The following is a 15,640-nucleotide window of genomic DNA, read 5'->3' on the forward strand; positions in this document are numbered from 1 at the left end:
TTGAGACGGAGTCTAGCTTAGCTGCCCAGGCTGGAGTGGAGTGGTGCGATCTAGGCTCACTGCAACCACCATCTCCCGGGTTCAAGCGATTGTCCCATCTCAGCCTCCCAAGTAGCTGAGATTACAGACACCTGCCACCATGCCCAGCTAATTTTTTTTTTTTTTTTGAGACGGAGTCTTGCTGAGCTGCCCAGGCTGGAGTGGAGTGGTGCGATCTGGGCTCACTGCAACCACCATCTCCTGGGTTCAAGTGATTCTCCCATCTCAGCCTCTTGAGTAGCTGGGATTGCAGGCACTCTCCATCATGCCCGGCTAATTTTTGTATTTTAGTAGAGATGGAGTTTCACCATGTTGGCCAGGCTGGTCTTGAACTCCTGACCTCAGGTGATCCACCTGCCTCGGCCTCCCAAAGTGCTAGGATTACAGGTGTGAACCACCGAGGCTGGTCTAATTTTTGTCTTTTTGGTAGAGACAGGGTTTCGCCATGTTGGCCAGGCTGGTCTTGAACTCCTGACCTCAGGTGATCCACCTGCCTCGGCCTCCCAAAGTGCTAGGATTACAGGCGTGAACCACCATGGCTGGCCTAATTTTTGTCTTTTTGGTAGAGACAGGGTTTCACCATGTTGGCCAGGCTGTTTTGTTTTTTTGCTTTTTTGTTTGTTTTTTTTTTTGAGACGGAGTCTCACTCTGTCGCCCAGGCTGGAGTGCAATGGCGTGGTCTCAGCTCACTGCAACCTCCACTTCCTGGGTTCAAGCGATTCTTCGGCCTCAGCCTCCCGAGTAGCTGGGATTACAGGCGTGTGCCACCACACCCAGCTAATTTTTGTATTTTTAGTAGAGACAGGGTTTCACTGTGTTGGCCAGGCTGGTCTCGAACTCCTGACCTCGTGATCTGCCCACCTCAGCCTCCCCTGGTGCTGGGATCACAGGTGTGAGCCACTGCACCTGGCCAGAGTACTGTTAAAGTGAAAACATTGATTTATGAGAAGGAAAGTTCTTATAAATATGCAGTTTTTTGTTTTTTTTTTTTTTGAGACAGAGTTTCACTCTCGTTGCCCAGGCTGGAGTGCAATGGCATGATCTCGGCTCACTGCAACCTCTGCCTCCCAGGTTCAAGCGATTCTCCTGCCTCAGCCTCACTAGTAGTGGGGATTCTGTGCATGTGCCACCACGCCTGGCTAATTTTGTATTTTTAGTAGAGACGGGTTTTCTCCATATTGGTCAGGCTGGTCTCGAACTCCCGACCTCAGGTGATCCGCCCGCCTCGGCCTCCCAAAGTGCTGGGATTACAGGCATGAGCCACTGCTCCCGGCCACATAAATTTGCAGTTTTCAAAGTCAACCTTTTTGTGCATATATTTATATACACAAAAATACATATATTTAATTATATATATTTAATATATTAAATATTTAAAATATTTTATATATTTGTTATATTCATGTCATTTATTTCTAGTCTAAATGGATGAGCTATTTGCATTCCCACCTGTAATATATAAGGAAAGATTACTAGTCTGCCTCCCTAATATAAGTCTGCTTAAAAGTCAGGGCCAGGAGCGGTGGCTCAGTGAGAGGCTAGTCTGAAGGTAATGAGTTTTCTCGATTGTTCACAGCATCTTTTATGTCTGTCACAGGTCTTCTAGTCTGATCAGTGCAGTATTCACATTTATTATATATGTCTGTTCAGGCCTTTTGTACCTCCTTCAGTATTCATTAAAGAATCTTTTTTTTATTTTTTTATTTTTATTTTTATTTATTTATTTATTTTTTTGAGGCAGGGTCTCTGTCACCGAGGCTGGAGTACAGTGCAGCCCTGAGCTTCCTGGGCTCTCACTGTAGCCTCCTGAGTAGCAGGGACTACAGGCACATGCCACCATTCTCAGCTCATTTTTGTATTTTTTGTAGAGACAGGGTTTCACCATGTTTCCCAGGATGGTATTGAACTCCTGGGCTCAAGCCATCCTCCCATCTTGGCCTCCCAAAGTGCTGGGATTACAAGCGTGAGCCACCACACATGGCCTAGAGGACCTTTTTAACAACTTCACCCCTCACTGATCTCTCTTTTCTCCCTCCAATTCCTTCGGTATATATCTTCTGTACCAAAAACTTTAATATTGAATTGTAAATTATTTTGTTCACAGATCAGTTCGTGTGTGTGTGTGCGCACACATGTGTGCGCATCTGCCTATGTTTTGAATCCAAATCCCCATAAATGATTTTAAGTTCCTTGTGGGCAGTTTGGTTTTTTTTTTTTTTGGCTTTTTTCCCAGCAAAAGGAATCAATTAAGTATTTGGTGACTGATAGATAAAAAGGATTAAAGAAAAGAATCAGCCAGAAGTTAGGGATATGTTAGCATCTGATAAAATATAATAGCAAAAACTCTTCTATTCCTGCTTTTTGTTATAAAAAGCAGCAAGGAATTGTTCTAGAAAAGAAGTGAAGGCCAGTCGCGGTGGCTCACACCTGTAATCCCAGCACTTTGGGAGGCCGAGGAAGGGGGATCACGAGGTCAGGAGTTCAAGACCAGCCTGGCAAAGATGGTGAAACCCCATCTCTACTAAAAATACAAAAAAAAATAGCCAGGCATGGTGACAAGCGCCTGTAATCCCAGCTACTTGGGAGGCTGAGGCAGGAGAATCACTTGAACCCTGGAGGTAGAGGTTGCAGTGAGCCGAGATCAGGCCATTGCACTCCAGCCTGGGGGACAGAGTGAGACTCTGTCTCAAAAAAAAAAAAGTGAAGTGAAGTGAATTTGAGTCAGTGTACTTAATAGGACAAGCATTAGGCAGTGTTGCAAGTACATATCGGAATCTCTTTGGCTGGCTCTAAGAAAGAGTTTGAACTTATTTACCTCCTTAGCCCTATGTAACAGGTAAGAAACTAAAAGGTACAGAAAATAGAGATGTTTGATTTTTCTAAGTTGCCCCAAGCTACCGTTTTTAAAAACGCCTGCAAGCATGTCTAAAACAGGAGCCTGTTAGCTACAGTTGCCAAACCGGTTTAACAGCACTGCCTCCATGTATTCTGGGTAAGAAGGAGCTCCGAGTACATAAATTTATCAAAGATCACTATCCCAATCATCTCAGAACAAGCTGTTACTAATGTACTGGAGTTTCTGTGCAAACTGTCTACCATAAACCATGAAAGGATTCAAAGTTCATAGTTCCTTCTTTGTTCCTTTGTTAATCACTGACTTCTGACTAGTGGGAGGTGCCTCCCAAGTTTGCTAATGCATTCTTTTTGGATAAGGATGACGCACAGATTGTCCTAATAAGGACTTAGATTGAGAAAGACCGCCCCCTCTGAGAAGAGGGGACAAGTCAGAGAGAGGGCGGGCAGTTTCTTTTTTAACTAGGGATGACACAAGCATAAGTCATTTCCTTATTAATTGGTTCAAACCAGTTCTTACAGGAACTAGTGGTGATAAATGTGGGACTTCTGAGAAGTCATTCATTTTATTCTTTGTGCCATACCAGAGTACAGTATCAGCTGAGCTGACCTTACTCTGAGGACTAACTCTTTTGCTGGAAGCGGTTTCTGATTTACAGCTCTTGGTTTCTCCCAGACATGTTGGTGGGAGAGATTTTGGTTTTTAAGGGGTTGTTAGATGGAGTAAATTTTCTTTTTTTTTTTTTTTTTTTTTAACTAAAAAGGGGTCACAGAATTTCAGCAGTTCTCTGATTTTTATATTTTATTCCTCTTCCTATCCAATCCCTGCCTTTTGAGTCCAGGTGGTAAGTACATTTTCTTTAACGTTTTTCCTGCTTTTCTTCCCAAATGTGTCTTTTTCTTTGGGCTACTGTACCCTGCTTCCAGTGCTGTCCCCGGCATAGGTCCATCTCTGCAGAAGCCATTTCAGGAGTACCTGGAGGCTCAACGGCAGAAGCTTCACCACAAAAGCGAAATGGGCACACCACAGGTAAGACTTTAATCCGGTTTCTTCTCCCCTCTGGGAAGTTTCGGGCTGAAATTACATTCACAGCTCTCACTCACATTTTTAGGCAAATAAGTGAAGTTGGTTTGCCAGTGTTCCTTGACAGAAGTTGAGCGTCTGTGTATGCTCTACTGGGAAATTTGTCTTTGTCTTAGACTAGAAAGTGTAACTTCTGTACATCTTCTCCTAAAAACAAGGGTAGAGCCAATGGAAAGTAATGGTTCTGTTACATAGAATGAGTTGTTGCCTTGATCTTAAATGATGTATTGGTAGATATACTTCCCAAGTGGATTAAAAAGTTAAAACTTACAGCATAACAAAGTATTAGACTTACTGAGGTGACTTGAATATCTCCTTTTGATTTTCACTCTATTTTTCTTTTCACCCATGGGAAAATGATAATTTTTTAATAAACCAAGGCTCTTACCATAGCTGAACTTTAAAACTTAGACTGTCTTTTCTGTAAACGATTCTGAGGCAAAGGGAAATGACTAGAAGAGGATGAGTAAACAATAACCTGAAATGGGAAACTCGAGGGAAGCACAGGTTTTTTTTGTTTTGTTTTGTTTGGTTCGTTTTTTGTTCTTTGGGGTTTTTTTGAGACAGAATTTCGCTCTCGTTGCCCAAGTTGGAGTGCAATGGCGCGATCTTGGCTCACTGCAACCTCCGCCTCCCGGGTTCAAGCGATTCTCCTGCCTCAGCCTCCCAAGTAGCTGTGATTCCAGGCACGTGCCACCACACCAGCTAATTTTTTGTATTTTAATAGAAACAGGGTTTCACCGTGTTAGCCAGGCTGGTCTCAAACTGACCTCAGATGATCCGCCCGCCTTGGCCTCCCAAAGTGCTGGGATTACAGATGTGAGCCACCGCGCCCGGCCAGAGCACTGTTTTTTTTAATGGCCTTGCACTCTTCTTATGGACCTTTGCTGCCCTCAGTTGACCAAACATGACATCAGAAACAGATACATTTGTGTGTTTTAAAAACAGCTCCTAATACTGGAACAAAAATATTTAACTGTCTTGACAATACTCATGAGTATCTGCATGGCGACTTCAGAGTTGAGTTTAATCAAAGAGTTTATTCTTAGGTCCTAGTAGAAGAGCTAACCTCACACTCATCCCATTCTAAACTATGTGATTCAACACTGATTTTACATCCAACAAAGTGAAATCTTGATAGTTGGGTGTAAAAAGGAGAGTAATGGAGATTTCAGAGTAGTTGGGGTTGCTTACTTTTCATTTTTAATTCTTTAGGTTTTGTAAGTTACACACTTCAAGCATTATAGATGATCCTCTTTTTACTACTGAACTAATGAAGCCTTTTTCATTGCATTGTTCTGCATTTATTTCTACAGGGAGAAAACTGGTTGTCCTGGATGTTTGAAAAGTTGGTCGTTGTCATGGTGTGTTACTTCATCCTATCTATCATTAACTCCATGGCACAAAGTTATGCCAAACGAATCCAGCAGCGGTTGAACTCAGAGGAGAAAACTAAATAAGTAGAGAAAGTTTTAAACTGCAGAAATTGGAGTGGATGGGTTCTGCCTTAAATTGGGAGGACTCCAAGCCGGGAAGGAAAATTCCCTTTTCCAACCTGTATCAATTTTTACAACTTTTTTCCTGAAAGCAGTTTAGTCCATACTTTGCACTGACATACTTTTTCCTTCTGTGCTAAGGTAAGGTATCCACCCTCGATGCAATCCACCTTGTGTTTTCTTAGGGTGGAATGTGATGTTCAGCAGCAAACTTGCAACAGACTGGCCTTCTGTTTGTTACTTTCAAAAGGCCCACATGATACAATTAGAGAATTCCCACCGCACAAAAAAAGTTCCTAAGTATGTTAAATATGTCAAGCTTTTTAGGCTTGTCACAAATGATTGCTTTGTTTTCCTAAGTCATCAAAATGTATATAAATTATCTAGATTGGATAACAGTCTTGCATGTTTATCATGTTACAATTTAATATTCCATCCTGCCCAACCCTTCCTCTCCCATCCTCAAAAAAGGGCCATTTTATGATGCATTGCACACCCTCTGGGGAAATTGATCTTTAAATTTTGAGACAGTATAAGGAAAATCTGGTTGGTGTCTTACAAGTGAGCTGACACCATTTTTTATTCTGTGTATTTAGAATGAAGTCTTGAAAAAAACTTTATAAAGACATCTTTAATCATTCCAAAATTGTGTCCGTTTTCTTGAGCGTTTTGATTTTTTACTTTTAGCTTATACCAGCTGAATGGCAGCCTTGCCTAATCCACCTACAACAAGAATTTCTTAAGCTTTCTTTTATTTGCATGAGAGAGCCACTACCAAGGCATGTTTTGTTATGCTGAAACTGGGCTGCTGCATACTGCTAAATGGCACCTCTGGGATTGGCCTACCTGGGGATTTCTTGGTTTGTGAAAACAGGAGAGGAGAAATATCTCATACAAGTGAAAGGATACTGGAGAGAGAAATTACCCATTTCTAAAAAAAAACCACACTCTGTCGTATCTGTGTTAATGTTTTCTAGCATGTACTCTGGTTTCAACAGACACAAATTTATATGTTAACCCAGTTTTCTTGCCGTTCTGTAAGTGTTTTATTCTTAGTGTGATTTTTTTCCATTGGGATGTTTTTGATTGAACTTGTTCATTTTGTTTTGCTTGGGAGGAAAATAAACAATTTTACTTTTTTCCTTTAGGAGCATTATGAGCATTATGTCAGAATAGAATAGAATTGGGGTTCGATCTTAACAGGCCAGAAATGCCTGGGTTTTTTTGGTTTGTTTTTGTTTTTGTTTTTTTATCAAATCCTGCCTGACTGTCTGCTTGTTTTGCCTACCATCGTGACATCTCCATGGCTGTACCACCTTGTCGGGTAGCTTATCAGACTGATGTTGACTGTTGAATCTCATGGCAACACCAGTCGATGGGCTGTCTGACATTTTGGTATCTTTCATCTGACCATCCATATCCAATGTTCTCATTTAAACATTACCCAGCATCATTGTTTATAATCAGAAACTCTGGTCCTTCTGTCTGGTGGCACTTAGAGTCTTTTGTGCCATAATGCAGCAGTATGGAGGGAGGATTTTATGGAGAAATGGGGATAGTCTTCATGACCACAAATAAATAAAGGAAAACTAAGCTGCATTGTGGGTTTTGAAAAGGTTATTATACTTCTTAACAATTCTTTTTTTCAGGGACTTTTCTAGCTGTATGACTGTTACTTGACCTTCTTTGAAAAGCATTCCCAAAATGCTCTATTTTAGATAGATTAACATTAACCAACATAATTTTTTTTAGATCGAGTCAGCATAAATTTCTAAGTCAGCCTCTAGTCGTGGTTCATCTCTTTCACCTGCATTTTATTTGGTGTTTGTCTGAAGAAAGGAAAGAGGAAAGCAAATACGAATTGTACTATTTGTACCAAATCTTTGGGATTCATTGGCAAATAATTTCAGTGTGGTGTATTATTAAATAGAAAAAAAAAATTTTGTTTCCTAGGTTGAAGGTCTAATTGATACGTTTGACTTATGATGACCATTTATGCACTTTCAAATGAATTTGCTTTCAAAATAAATGAAGAGCAGCTGTCCTTCTTTCCTCTTTTAAGTGTTCAGCTGTGGCATGCTCAGAGGTTCCTGCTGGATTCCAGCTGGAGCGGTGTGATACCCTTCTTTTTCAGCTGTTCGTGCCTTCCTTTCTTGTATCCACCAAAGTGGAGACAAATACATGATCTCAAAGATACACAGTACCTACTTAATTCCAGCTGATGGGAGACCAAAGAATTTGCAAGTGGATGGTTTGGTATCACTGTAAATAAAAAGAGGGCCTGGGAATTCTTGCGATTCCATCTCTACTTTGTATAAGTCTCATTTTGTGCCTTACACATCTGCAGTATTTATCATGTTCCAACTTGGTGACTGTCAGGCAGTGCAATACATCAGCAGTTTATCACCGAAGAGCTGAGGAATACCTCCCTTAAAACAGACAATGTCGGCCGGGCGCGGTGGCTCACACCTGTAATCCCAGCACTTTGGGAGGCCAAGGCGGGCAGATCACCTGAGGTCAGGAGTTTGAGACCAGCCTGGCCAACATGGCGAAACCCCATCTCTACTAAAAATATAAAAAATTAGCCGGGCGTGGTGGTGCACGCCTGTAATCCCAGCTATTCAGGAGGCTGAGGCAGGAGAATCCCTTGAACGCAGGAAGCAGAGTTTGCAGTGAGCCGAGATGGCGCCACTGCACTCCAGCCTGGGTGACAGAGCAAGACAAAAAAAATAACAGATGATGTCATATGAAAATGTGCAATGTCCAGTTTTCCCATAGTTTTCTGTATTCTCTGTGTGCATAATCTGGAGTATGAGTCTGGGAAGAAAAAGGTTTTTAGTTTCATTTGGATAGTGGCCACCTCTCCATTCCCTACGAATGCTAGAATGAAGTTACTTTTTTTTTTTTTTTTTTTTTTTTTGAGACAGAGTCTTGCTCCGTCGCCCAGGCTAGAGTGCAATGGTACAATCTCGGCTCACTGCCACTTCCGCCTCCCAGGTTCAAGCGATTGTCCTGCCTCAGCCTCTGGAGTAGTTGGGATTCCAGGCGCCCACCACCACACCAGGCTAGTTTTTGTATTTTTAGTAGAGACGGGGTTTGGCCATGTTGGTCAGGCTGGTCTCGAACTCCTGACCTGAGGTGATCCACCTGCCTCGGTCTCCCAAAGTTCTGGGTTCACAGACGTGAGCCACCATGCCCACGTAGAATGAAGTTTCTTAAATACACTAGTTAATTATTGAAACATATGCAGTATTGAGTGCTCCTACACAAACACGCTCAGCCTCTGCCCCCAGTGTGCTCTGTGCTATCCACAGCCTTAGTAGAACATGAGGCTTTTTGTCATTTCACCAGTCATTCAATAATGACTCATTTGAGTATGGATCATGCACTAGCTAAATAACCAGTTGCGCTCATGTACCCTGAAGCAAATTGTTTAGCCTGACCCATGTGTAAGAAGATCACAGAGATTCCCAACCTTTCAGTGTCAAAAAGCCTTTCCATATATATTACTTTAAAACCCATTTTCCCCCATGTGTAATAGTCTATGTTAATGACGGTTCGGGTTTCTTCTACATTGTTTGTGACCTGAGAAAGTTTAAAAGAGCCTCAGTTTCTTTCATCTATAAAAATAAAAGAGATAGAAGGACAGTTTACCTAAGGAATAAATCTGGTAACATGTAAAGTACTGAAATAGGCTGGGTGCAGTGGCTCATGCTTATAATCCTAATACTTTGGGAGGCCAAGGCAGGAGGATCCCTTTTAGGCCAAGAGTTCAATAAATAGGGCCGGGCATGGTGGCTCACGCCTGTAATCCCAGCACTTTGGGAGGCCAAGGTGGGCAGATCACCTGAGTTCGAGACCAGCCTAACCAACATGGCGAAATCACATCTCTACTAAAAATACAAAAATGTAGCAGGCACGGTGGCACATGCCTGTAATCCCAGCTACTCGGGAGGCTGAGGCAGGAATCGCTTGAACCCAGGAGGCAGAGGTTGCAGTGAGCCGAGATCTTGCCATTGCACTCCAGCCTGGGCAACAAGAGTGAAACTCCGTCTCAAAACAAACAAACAAAAAAGAGTTCAGTAAAAGTACAGCAATAAAAGTTATCCACCTCCACCACCCCAGCTTTTTTTTTTTTTTTTTTTTTTTTTTGAGAGTGAGGTTTTACTGTGTCACCCAGGCTGGAGTGTGGTGGCACAGTCATGGCTCTTTACAGCCTTGACCTCCCAGGCTCAAGAAATTCTCCTACCTCAGCCTCCCTGGCAAGGACCAGCATGAACCACCATACCTGGGTAATTTTTTAATTTTTTGTAAAGACAGGGTCTCAATATTTTGCCCAGGCCAGTCTTGAATTCCCAGGCTCGAGCGATCCTGCCGTGGCCTCCCAAAGTGCTGGGATGACAGGTGTGAGCCACCATGCTGGGCATTCCCAATGAAAGACTGAGGCCAGGCACAGTGGCTCACGCCTGTCATCCCAGCCTTTTGGGAGGCCAAGACAGGATCACTTGAGGTCAGGAGTTCAAGACCAGCCTGGCCAGCATGGTGAAACCCTATCTCTACTAAAAATACAAAAATTAGCCAGGCGTGGTGGCGTATGCCTGTAATCTCAGCTACTCGGGAAACAGGCAGGAGAGTCACTTGAACCCGGAAGGCAGACGTTGCAGTGACCTGAGATCGTGCCACTGCACTCCAGCCTGGGCAACAGAGCAAGACACCATCTCGCAAAAAAAAAAAAAAAAAAAAAAAAAAAGTGAGCATCTGATACACATGCAAGAATTTCACAACATTGCATTCACTCCTCCAGAAACAAAGATATATTTTAAAATGCTTTCTTAGCATATGTGCTCTGGTTTTCTAGCAGATACTCTGTCAAACTTTTGATAAGTGAAAAATTTACCGAAGAATTTAAAACCAAAAACAGTTTTTTAACTTTCCCACCTGAAAATATTGACCATTTTCTAATTTATTTTCATTATAAAGAATATTGGTTATCATGGTTGCTCATGCCTGTAATTCTAGCACTTTGGTAGGCCAAGGCAGGCAAATCACTCCTGAGCCCAGGAGTTCGAGACCAGCCTGGACAACATAATGAGACCTCCCTACAAAATATTTAAAAGTTAGCCAAGTGTGACAGTATGTGCCTATAGTCCCAGGCTGAGGTGGATCACCTCATTAGTGAGCCGTGATTGTGTCACTGCACTCCAGCCTGAGTGACACAGACCCTGCCTCAAAAAATATATATATAAATACTAAAACATCTGGAAGGAAAGAGGAGAAAAGGGAGTATCAGCTTTTAATACTTGTTACAAGGTCAGTCTAGAAAATACAGTGAGATTTGCTGGGTAAATAGGTTTTGAACCATGAAAAAATTGATGGCATGCAAGATCTTCCTCAATAGACCTAAGAGTCTCATTTCTATTAAAAAATACAAACAACTGCTTCATTTTATTCATAAATAATTTTTTGAGGTGCTACAAAAAATTAAAACTAAGCAGGAGTTTAAAGTTTTTGAAAAGCCAAGTAACATTTTATCTCTAACATTTATTGAATCCTCTCCAGTATTTACACAACGTAAATGAGATACTACACACAAAACCCTTGTGTCTGAAGGTAAATTTATTTATTCTCAAAGACAACAAGAAGAGAAAGCACATCATGTATTTTAAACTTTAGAAGCAACTGAGTCATTAGTGTCTGGTGGACAGGAGCTAGGGATCCTATCCCTTCCCAACAAGGCCAAGAGTTCACCTGAGGTAATGCATTTGCCTTGGGGGCGAGGCCTTGAATTGCAGCAAATAACCTGTGTGTATTTGCATATTTAACCAGTACTCTTAAGAAGGATTATACAAAAACCTGTTCCAGACAGCTGCTTACTCATTGCCTTTAAAATTGCGTGGTGCTGGGATTGGCAGGTGCCAACTGTTTGCTCATTCTCTTTGACCCACTAGCCTTGCAGTTTGCTGTGTGGGTGTTGATACTCCTAAATTAAAGCAGGGAAGGGGTGGTTTTAGATGGCTTTTAACACCTGCTCTCCACCCAAGCACCCTGGATTCATTTGATATCTGGATTCTAATTCTGTAGTCAGGAGACTGGCCCAAACTGTGGCCCAGAGAGAAGTGAGTCAGTTGCAAGTGGCTAGCTGACTCTATGGGAACAGAAATAAAATGCAGCTTAGAGAGTTTGTCAGCCAAATCCACAAATGTGTGGCTTTTTGAAACATTGGACATCTGTTCCTCTTAATTTAAAATAAACTTTTTTTTTTTTTTTTTTTAAGCACAAAGTTGCTTGGCTCCTTGTTTCTTTGTGTCAGCAGCAGTTGCTGCTCTAATTTAGGAACCCTAGGATCTGATTTAGGACATTTGGAATCTTTAAGGCACATTCGATCTAGAAAGTGGAACTGAATTGCTTTGGGAAGGCAAGAGGATGATTTTACAGTATAGGGTTTGTGTGGAAATCCCCTTCAGCAGTAATCAACCCAGGTGTCCAACCTGTTTGTTAACCATTTCCAAATGACTCAGAGGACCTAGAGGGAGGGCTTGAACACACTCCAGCACTGTTTCTACAATTTAGCCTTTATTTGCATTGGAAACCACATTCCTGAATTCTTGAGGGGGCAGGCTCTGGCTTATTCTGGGCAACTGACTTCAAGTGGGACCCCTGAGCTACCTATGTAAGCAAAGAGTCAGCCATCTCTGGAGAGTTACCAGGGAGGAGGATCTTTCTGTGAACTTGCTTTGATGACCTCCACCCAAAGCCCTTTGAGGAACAGTTTTGTTTATTCAAGGAGCCCTTGGCAGGTCACTCCTCCCCTACCACAAATCTAATCCAAATGCGACATTTTCCTTTGAGGCCATCTATCCCTTTTGGGGGACAAAACACATCAGCTTTTCCCTTCAGACCACTTTTGACTGAAGCAGTGATCAACATTGCTTAATTGTGTTCCAGTCTGTTTCCAGCGGGGAAAAAATGCTTTAGGGGAGTGAGGCAGTTAGGGATTTGAAAACAGGGATGGTGCCGCCTGAAGGTGGGGAATGACTTAGATCACTGTCTTCCTTTGGCTCCTCACCATGTTGTGTGGAGGAAACGAAAAGCAGCTCAAGTTCACTCCTCTTGGCAGTAGTGCAGAAGCCTGGCTTGCCACGGCCCTGGAGAACCATGTTTTTCCCAACTTTTTTTTTTTTCTTTTGAGACGGAGTTTCACTCTTGTTGCCGAGGCTGGAGTGCAGTGGCGCAATCTCGGCTCACTGCAGCCTCCGCCTTCCAGGTTCAAAGCGATTCTCCTGCCTCAGCCTCTCAAGTAGCTGGGATTACAGGTGCATGCCACCACACTCGGCTAATTTTTTGTATTTTTTTCAGTAGATACGGGGTTTCATCATGTTGGCCAGGCTGGTCTCGAACTCCTAACCTCAGGTGATCCACCCGCCTCGGCCTCCCAAAGTGCTGGGATTACAAGCATGAACCACCATGCCCAGCCTTTTTTTTTTTTTTTTTTTTTTTTAATACAGAACACAAATTTGAGTGTCATTCTTGTGCAGGGGCCATGCTAATCTTCTGTATATTGTTCCAATTTTGGTGTATGTGCTGCCAAAGCAAGCACCCAGCTTCTTTTCATTAGTTAAGAAGATGAAGGCCAAGACTAAGGCAGGGAGGCCTTTCTCTGCCTTTCACTCTTTAGTGCACCTCACAGTCAGTTGCACTTGAGTAAGGACTGCTAAACCTCTCTGAGAGCTGCCAGATGTTCCTGCCTAGCCTCAGGTTGTTGGTTCTTCAGACACCTCTTCATTCTGCCCATTGCACCAGCCCTTTCCCATCTCCATGTTCCCTCCATGGTAATTTCTTTGTACACAACAACCACACGGAGCACCAGCAATCAAGATTAGCTCCCGGGAACTCTGGCGTGCCCTGTACCAGGAAGCACAGTGGATTACTACAACTTTTGATAATGATTGTTTGCTTTGTACCAGGCATTATTTTCAGGGCTGTTTCACATGTGTTGTACTTAACAACCCCATGAGGAAATTAAGGCAGGGTGGTTCAGTAATTTGTCAAGGGAAACAAGGAAGTAGAGCAGGCAGCAGAGGCGTTCTGGCTCTGAACTACTCTGTTCTGTAGAAATCAGTGCAAAAGTCCAAGCTTCAGCATACTTGTTTCATCTTGTGATCACAGGTAGTTTTTTTTGTTTTTTTTTTGTTGTTGTTGTTGTTGTTTATTTGTTTGTTTTGAGATGGAGTCTCGCTGTCGCCCAGGCTGGAGTGCAGTGGGGCGATCTCCGCTCACTGCAGGCTCCGCCTCCCGGGTTCAAGCCATTCTCCTGCCTCAGCCTCCCGAGTAGCTGGGACTACAGGCGCCCGCCACCTCGCCCAGCTAATTTTTTGTATTTTTAGTAGAGACGGGGTTTCACCGTGTTAGCCAGGATGGTCTCAATCGCCTGACCTCGTGATCCGCCCGCCTCGGCCTCCCAAAGTGCTGAGATTACAGGTGTGAGCCACCGCGCCCGGCCCTGATCACAGGTAGTTGATGGAGAAAGGAAGATAACAGAAAATCAAGGCCACAACCTCAAATTTTGCTATTTAAATAGATAAGCAGACTTTACTCTTCCCTGTATCACAGGGTTGGAAAAGCAAGCTCCATTCTTAGCCATCCATGTGGGCAGATTCCCAGAGTGGTGTTTGCTATAATTATGATTTAAAAGCAAGGTTTTTTGTTTGTTTGTTTTAAGGAGATGGGGTCTCCCATGTTACCCAGGCCGAACTCCAACTCCTGGGCTCAAGTCATCCTCCCGCCTCAGCCTCCCGAGTAGCTGGGACTACAGGCACTCACCACCACACTTGGGTAAAAGTAATTTCTATTTCTACAGCCTTTTTTTATTTTTCAAAGTATTTTAATGTCTTGAGTTTGGGTTTTGTTTTGAGACAGGGTTTCACTCTGTTGCCCAAGCTGAAGTACAGTGGCGCAATCACAGCCACAGCTGACTGCAACCTCCACCTCCCAGGCTCAAGCAATCCTCCCGCCACAGCCGCCCCACTCCCCACCAGTAGCTGGGACTACAGAGCTGCACCACCACACCCAGCTAATTTCTGTAGTTTTTTTTTTTAGTAGAGACAGGGTTTCACCACGTTGACCACGCTGGTTTTAAACTCCTGAGCTCAATCAATCCACCTGCCTCGGCCTCCCAAAGTGCTGGAATTACAGGTGTGAGCCACTGCACTCGGCTAGGAAACCCTTTTCTGATCTTTCCTTGTCAGCAATGATCTCTTCACACTTCCTTTCTTACGGCCCTCACCTCACTCTGTATTATAGTTATCTGCATATATGAATAAAATCCCTAAGAAGACTGCAGGGTCCTGGAGGGAGGAGATCTGTATCGACAACTTTGTCTCTTCTTCACAGCACCTTACACCAGTGGGGATTTAAAAAGTGAATACAGGGCTGGGCACCGTGGCTTATGCCTATAATCCTAGCACTTTAAGAGGATGAGGTGGGAGGATCACCTGTCGCCAGGAGTTCAAGACCAGCCTGGCCCAACATGGCAAAACCCTGTCTCTACTAAAAATACAAAAGTTCGCTGGGCGTAGTGATGCATGTCTGTAATCCCAGCTACTTGGGAGGCTGAGGCATGAGGATTGCTTGAACCCGGGAGGCAGAGGTTGCAGTGAGCCAAGGTTGCACCACTGCACTCCAGCCTGGTTGACCAGGTGACAAAGTGAGACCCTGTCTCAAAAAAACAAAACAAAAGTTTCCTGAGGGGAGTAGTATTTGAATTGACAAGGTAGAGGGAGTGAAACGAAAGGTATTCTAACCAGAAAAAAACTCAGACACCAGGAAAGAACAAATAAGGGGCTATGTGTAGGGTGGGGAGAAAGACAGCATCAGGTTTTCCACTCGAGTCCTCTGTAGCTCTGCCTTAGCTCGCTGTTTAGTTTCCTTAAAGTACCGACCAAATTCACAACTAGTTTGTCTATTTTCTTGCTAGTGCTTGCGACACTAGAACATAAGCCCGGTGAAAGGAAAATAAATCTTGGGACCCCAAAATCACTAAGCCAAAGAAAAGTCAAGCTGGGAACTGCTTAGGGCAAACCTGCCCCCCATTCTATTCCTTAAAAAGATAGCTACTAAGATTTTTTTTTTTAAAAAAACTGCATACTGGGGCTGGGCGCGGTGGCTCATG

General features: G+C 43.2%; 1 protein-coding gene, 1 non-coding gene and 1 pseudogene across 11 annotated transcripts in view, besides 11 other annotated features; 2 read left to right on the plus strand and 1 right to left on the minus strand.

Moving 5' to 3' along the window:
* VMP1 (vacuole membrane protein 1) overlaps nucleotides 1–7,780 on the plus strand; it is a 134,602-nt gene extending 126,822 nt beyond the window's left edge. For all 10 annotated transcript variants that reach the window (NM_001329394.2, NM_001329395.2, NM_030938.5 and 7 more), the window contains 2 exons: nucleotides 3,820–3,922; nucleotides 5,293–7,780. In NM_001329394.2, the coding sequence (NP_001316323.1) occupies nucleotides 3,820–3,922; nucleotides 5,293–5,436 (247 nt within the window). In that variant the 3' untranslated portion in view covers nucleotides 5,437–7,780. The remainder of the gene's footprint in view (nucleotides 1–3,819; nucleotides 3,923–5,292) is intronic.
* Nucleotides 135–634: an enhancer, noted in NCBI's record as "H3K27ac hESC enhancer chr17:57911971-57912470 (GRCh37/hg19 assembly coordinates)". NCBI's record gives its function as "activates a minimal SCP1, AML or CMV promoter by ChIP-STARR-seq in naive H9 embryonic stem cells {active_cell/tissue: H9 hESC(naive)}" and the evidence as "EXISTENCE:reporter gene assay evidence [ECO:0000049][PMID:30033119]".
* Nucleotides 2,735–3,194: an enhancer, noted in NCBI's record as "active region_12517". NCBI's record gives its function as "activates an Ori minimal core promoter by ATAC-STARR-seq in GM12878 lymphoblastoid cells {active_cell/tissue: GM12878}" and the evidence as "EXISTENCE:reporter gene assay evidence [ECO:0000049][PMID:35858748]".
* Nucleotides 2,735–5,113: a biological region, named in NCBI's record as "VISTA enhancer hs1656".
* Nucleotides 2,776–5,113: an enhancer, noted in NCBI's record as "VISTA enhancer hs1656". NCBI's record gives its function as "enhancer in: heart[6/8]" and the evidence as "EXISTENCE:transgenic organism evidence [ECO:0001131][PMID:17130149]".
* Nucleotides 2,940–4,139: an enhancer, noted in NCBI's record as "BRD4-independent group 4 enhancer chr17:57914776-57915975 (GRCh37/hg19 assembly coordinates)". NCBI's record gives its function as "activates an origin of replication core promoter dependent on BRD2, P300/CBP, MED14 and CDK7 cofactors, and independent of BRD4, by STARR-seq in HCT116 cells {active_cell/tissue: HCT116}" and the evidence as "EXISTENCE:reporter gene assay evidence [ECO:0000049][PMID:35650434]".
* Nucleotides 3,645–4,374: an enhancer, noted in NCBI's record as "H3K27ac hESC enhancer chr17:57915481-57916210 (GRCh37/hg19 assembly coordinates)". NCBI's record gives its function as "activates a minimal SCP1, AML or CMV promoter by ChIP-STARR-seq in primed H9 embryonic stem cells {active_cell/tissue: H9 hESC(primed)}" and the evidence as "EXISTENCE:reporter gene assay evidence [ECO:0000049][PMID:30033119]".
* Nucleotides 5,837–6,566: an enhancer, noted in NCBI's record as "OCT4-NANOG-H3K27ac hESC enhancer chr17:57917673-57918402 (GRCh37/hg19 assembly coordinates)". NCBI's record gives its function as "activates a minimal SCP1, AML or CMV promoter by ChIP-STARR-seq in naive H9 embryonic stem cells {active_cell/tissue: H9 hESC(naive)}" and the evidence as "EXISTENCE:reporter gene assay evidence [ECO:0000049][PMID:30033119]".
* Nucleotides 6,791–6,862, plus strand: MIR21 (microRNA 21). Its single transcript, NR_029493.1, has one exon. It is a non-coding gene; the product is annotated as a microRNA 21 (primary transcript).
* Nucleotides 7,852–8,046: a silencer, noted in NCBI's record as "fragment chr17:57919688-57919882 (GRCh37/hg19 assembly coordinates)". NCBI's record gives its function as "represses an EF-1alpha promoter that drives an FKBP-Casp9 reporter gene in an ReSE screen in K562 erythroleukemia cells {active_cell/tissue: K562}" and the evidence as "EXISTENCE:reporter gene assay evidence [ECO:0000049][PMID:32094911]".
* Nucleotides 12,064–13,052: an enhancer, noted in NCBI's record as "H3K27ac-H3K4me1 hESC enhancer chr17:57923900-57924888 (GRCh37/hg19 assembly coordinates)". NCBI's record gives its function as "activates a minimal SCP1, AML or CMV promoter by ChIP-STARR-seq in naive H9 embryonic stem cells {active_cell/tissue: H9 hESC(naive)}" and the evidence as "EXISTENCE:reporter gene assay evidence [ECO:0000049][PMID:30033119]".
* On the minus strand, nucleotides 12,963–13,069 carry RNU6-450P (RNA, U6 small nuclear 450, pseudogene; annotated as a pseudogene).
* Nucleotides 13,091–13,190: a silencer, noted in NCBI's record as "silent region_8783". NCBI's record gives its function as "represses an Ori minimal core promoter by ATAC-STARR-seq in GM12878 lymphoblastoid cells {active_cell/tissue: GM12878}" and the evidence as "EXISTENCE:reporter gene assay evidence [ECO:0000049][PMID:35858748]".
* Nucleotides 14,593–14,912: an enhancer, noted in NCBI's record as "active region_12518". NCBI's record gives its function as "activates an Ori minimal core promoter by ATAC-STARR-seq in GM12878 lymphoblastoid cells {active_cell/tissue: GM12878}" and the evidence as "EXISTENCE:reporter gene assay evidence [ECO:0000049][PMID:35858748]".

This window comes from Homo sapiens, chromosome 17 (assembly GCF_000001405.40).
Source record: "Homo sapiens chromosome 17, GRCh38.p14 Primary Assembly".
Lineage (NCBI taxonomy): Eukaryota > Metazoa > Chordata > Mammalia > Primates > Hominidae > Homo > Homo sapiens.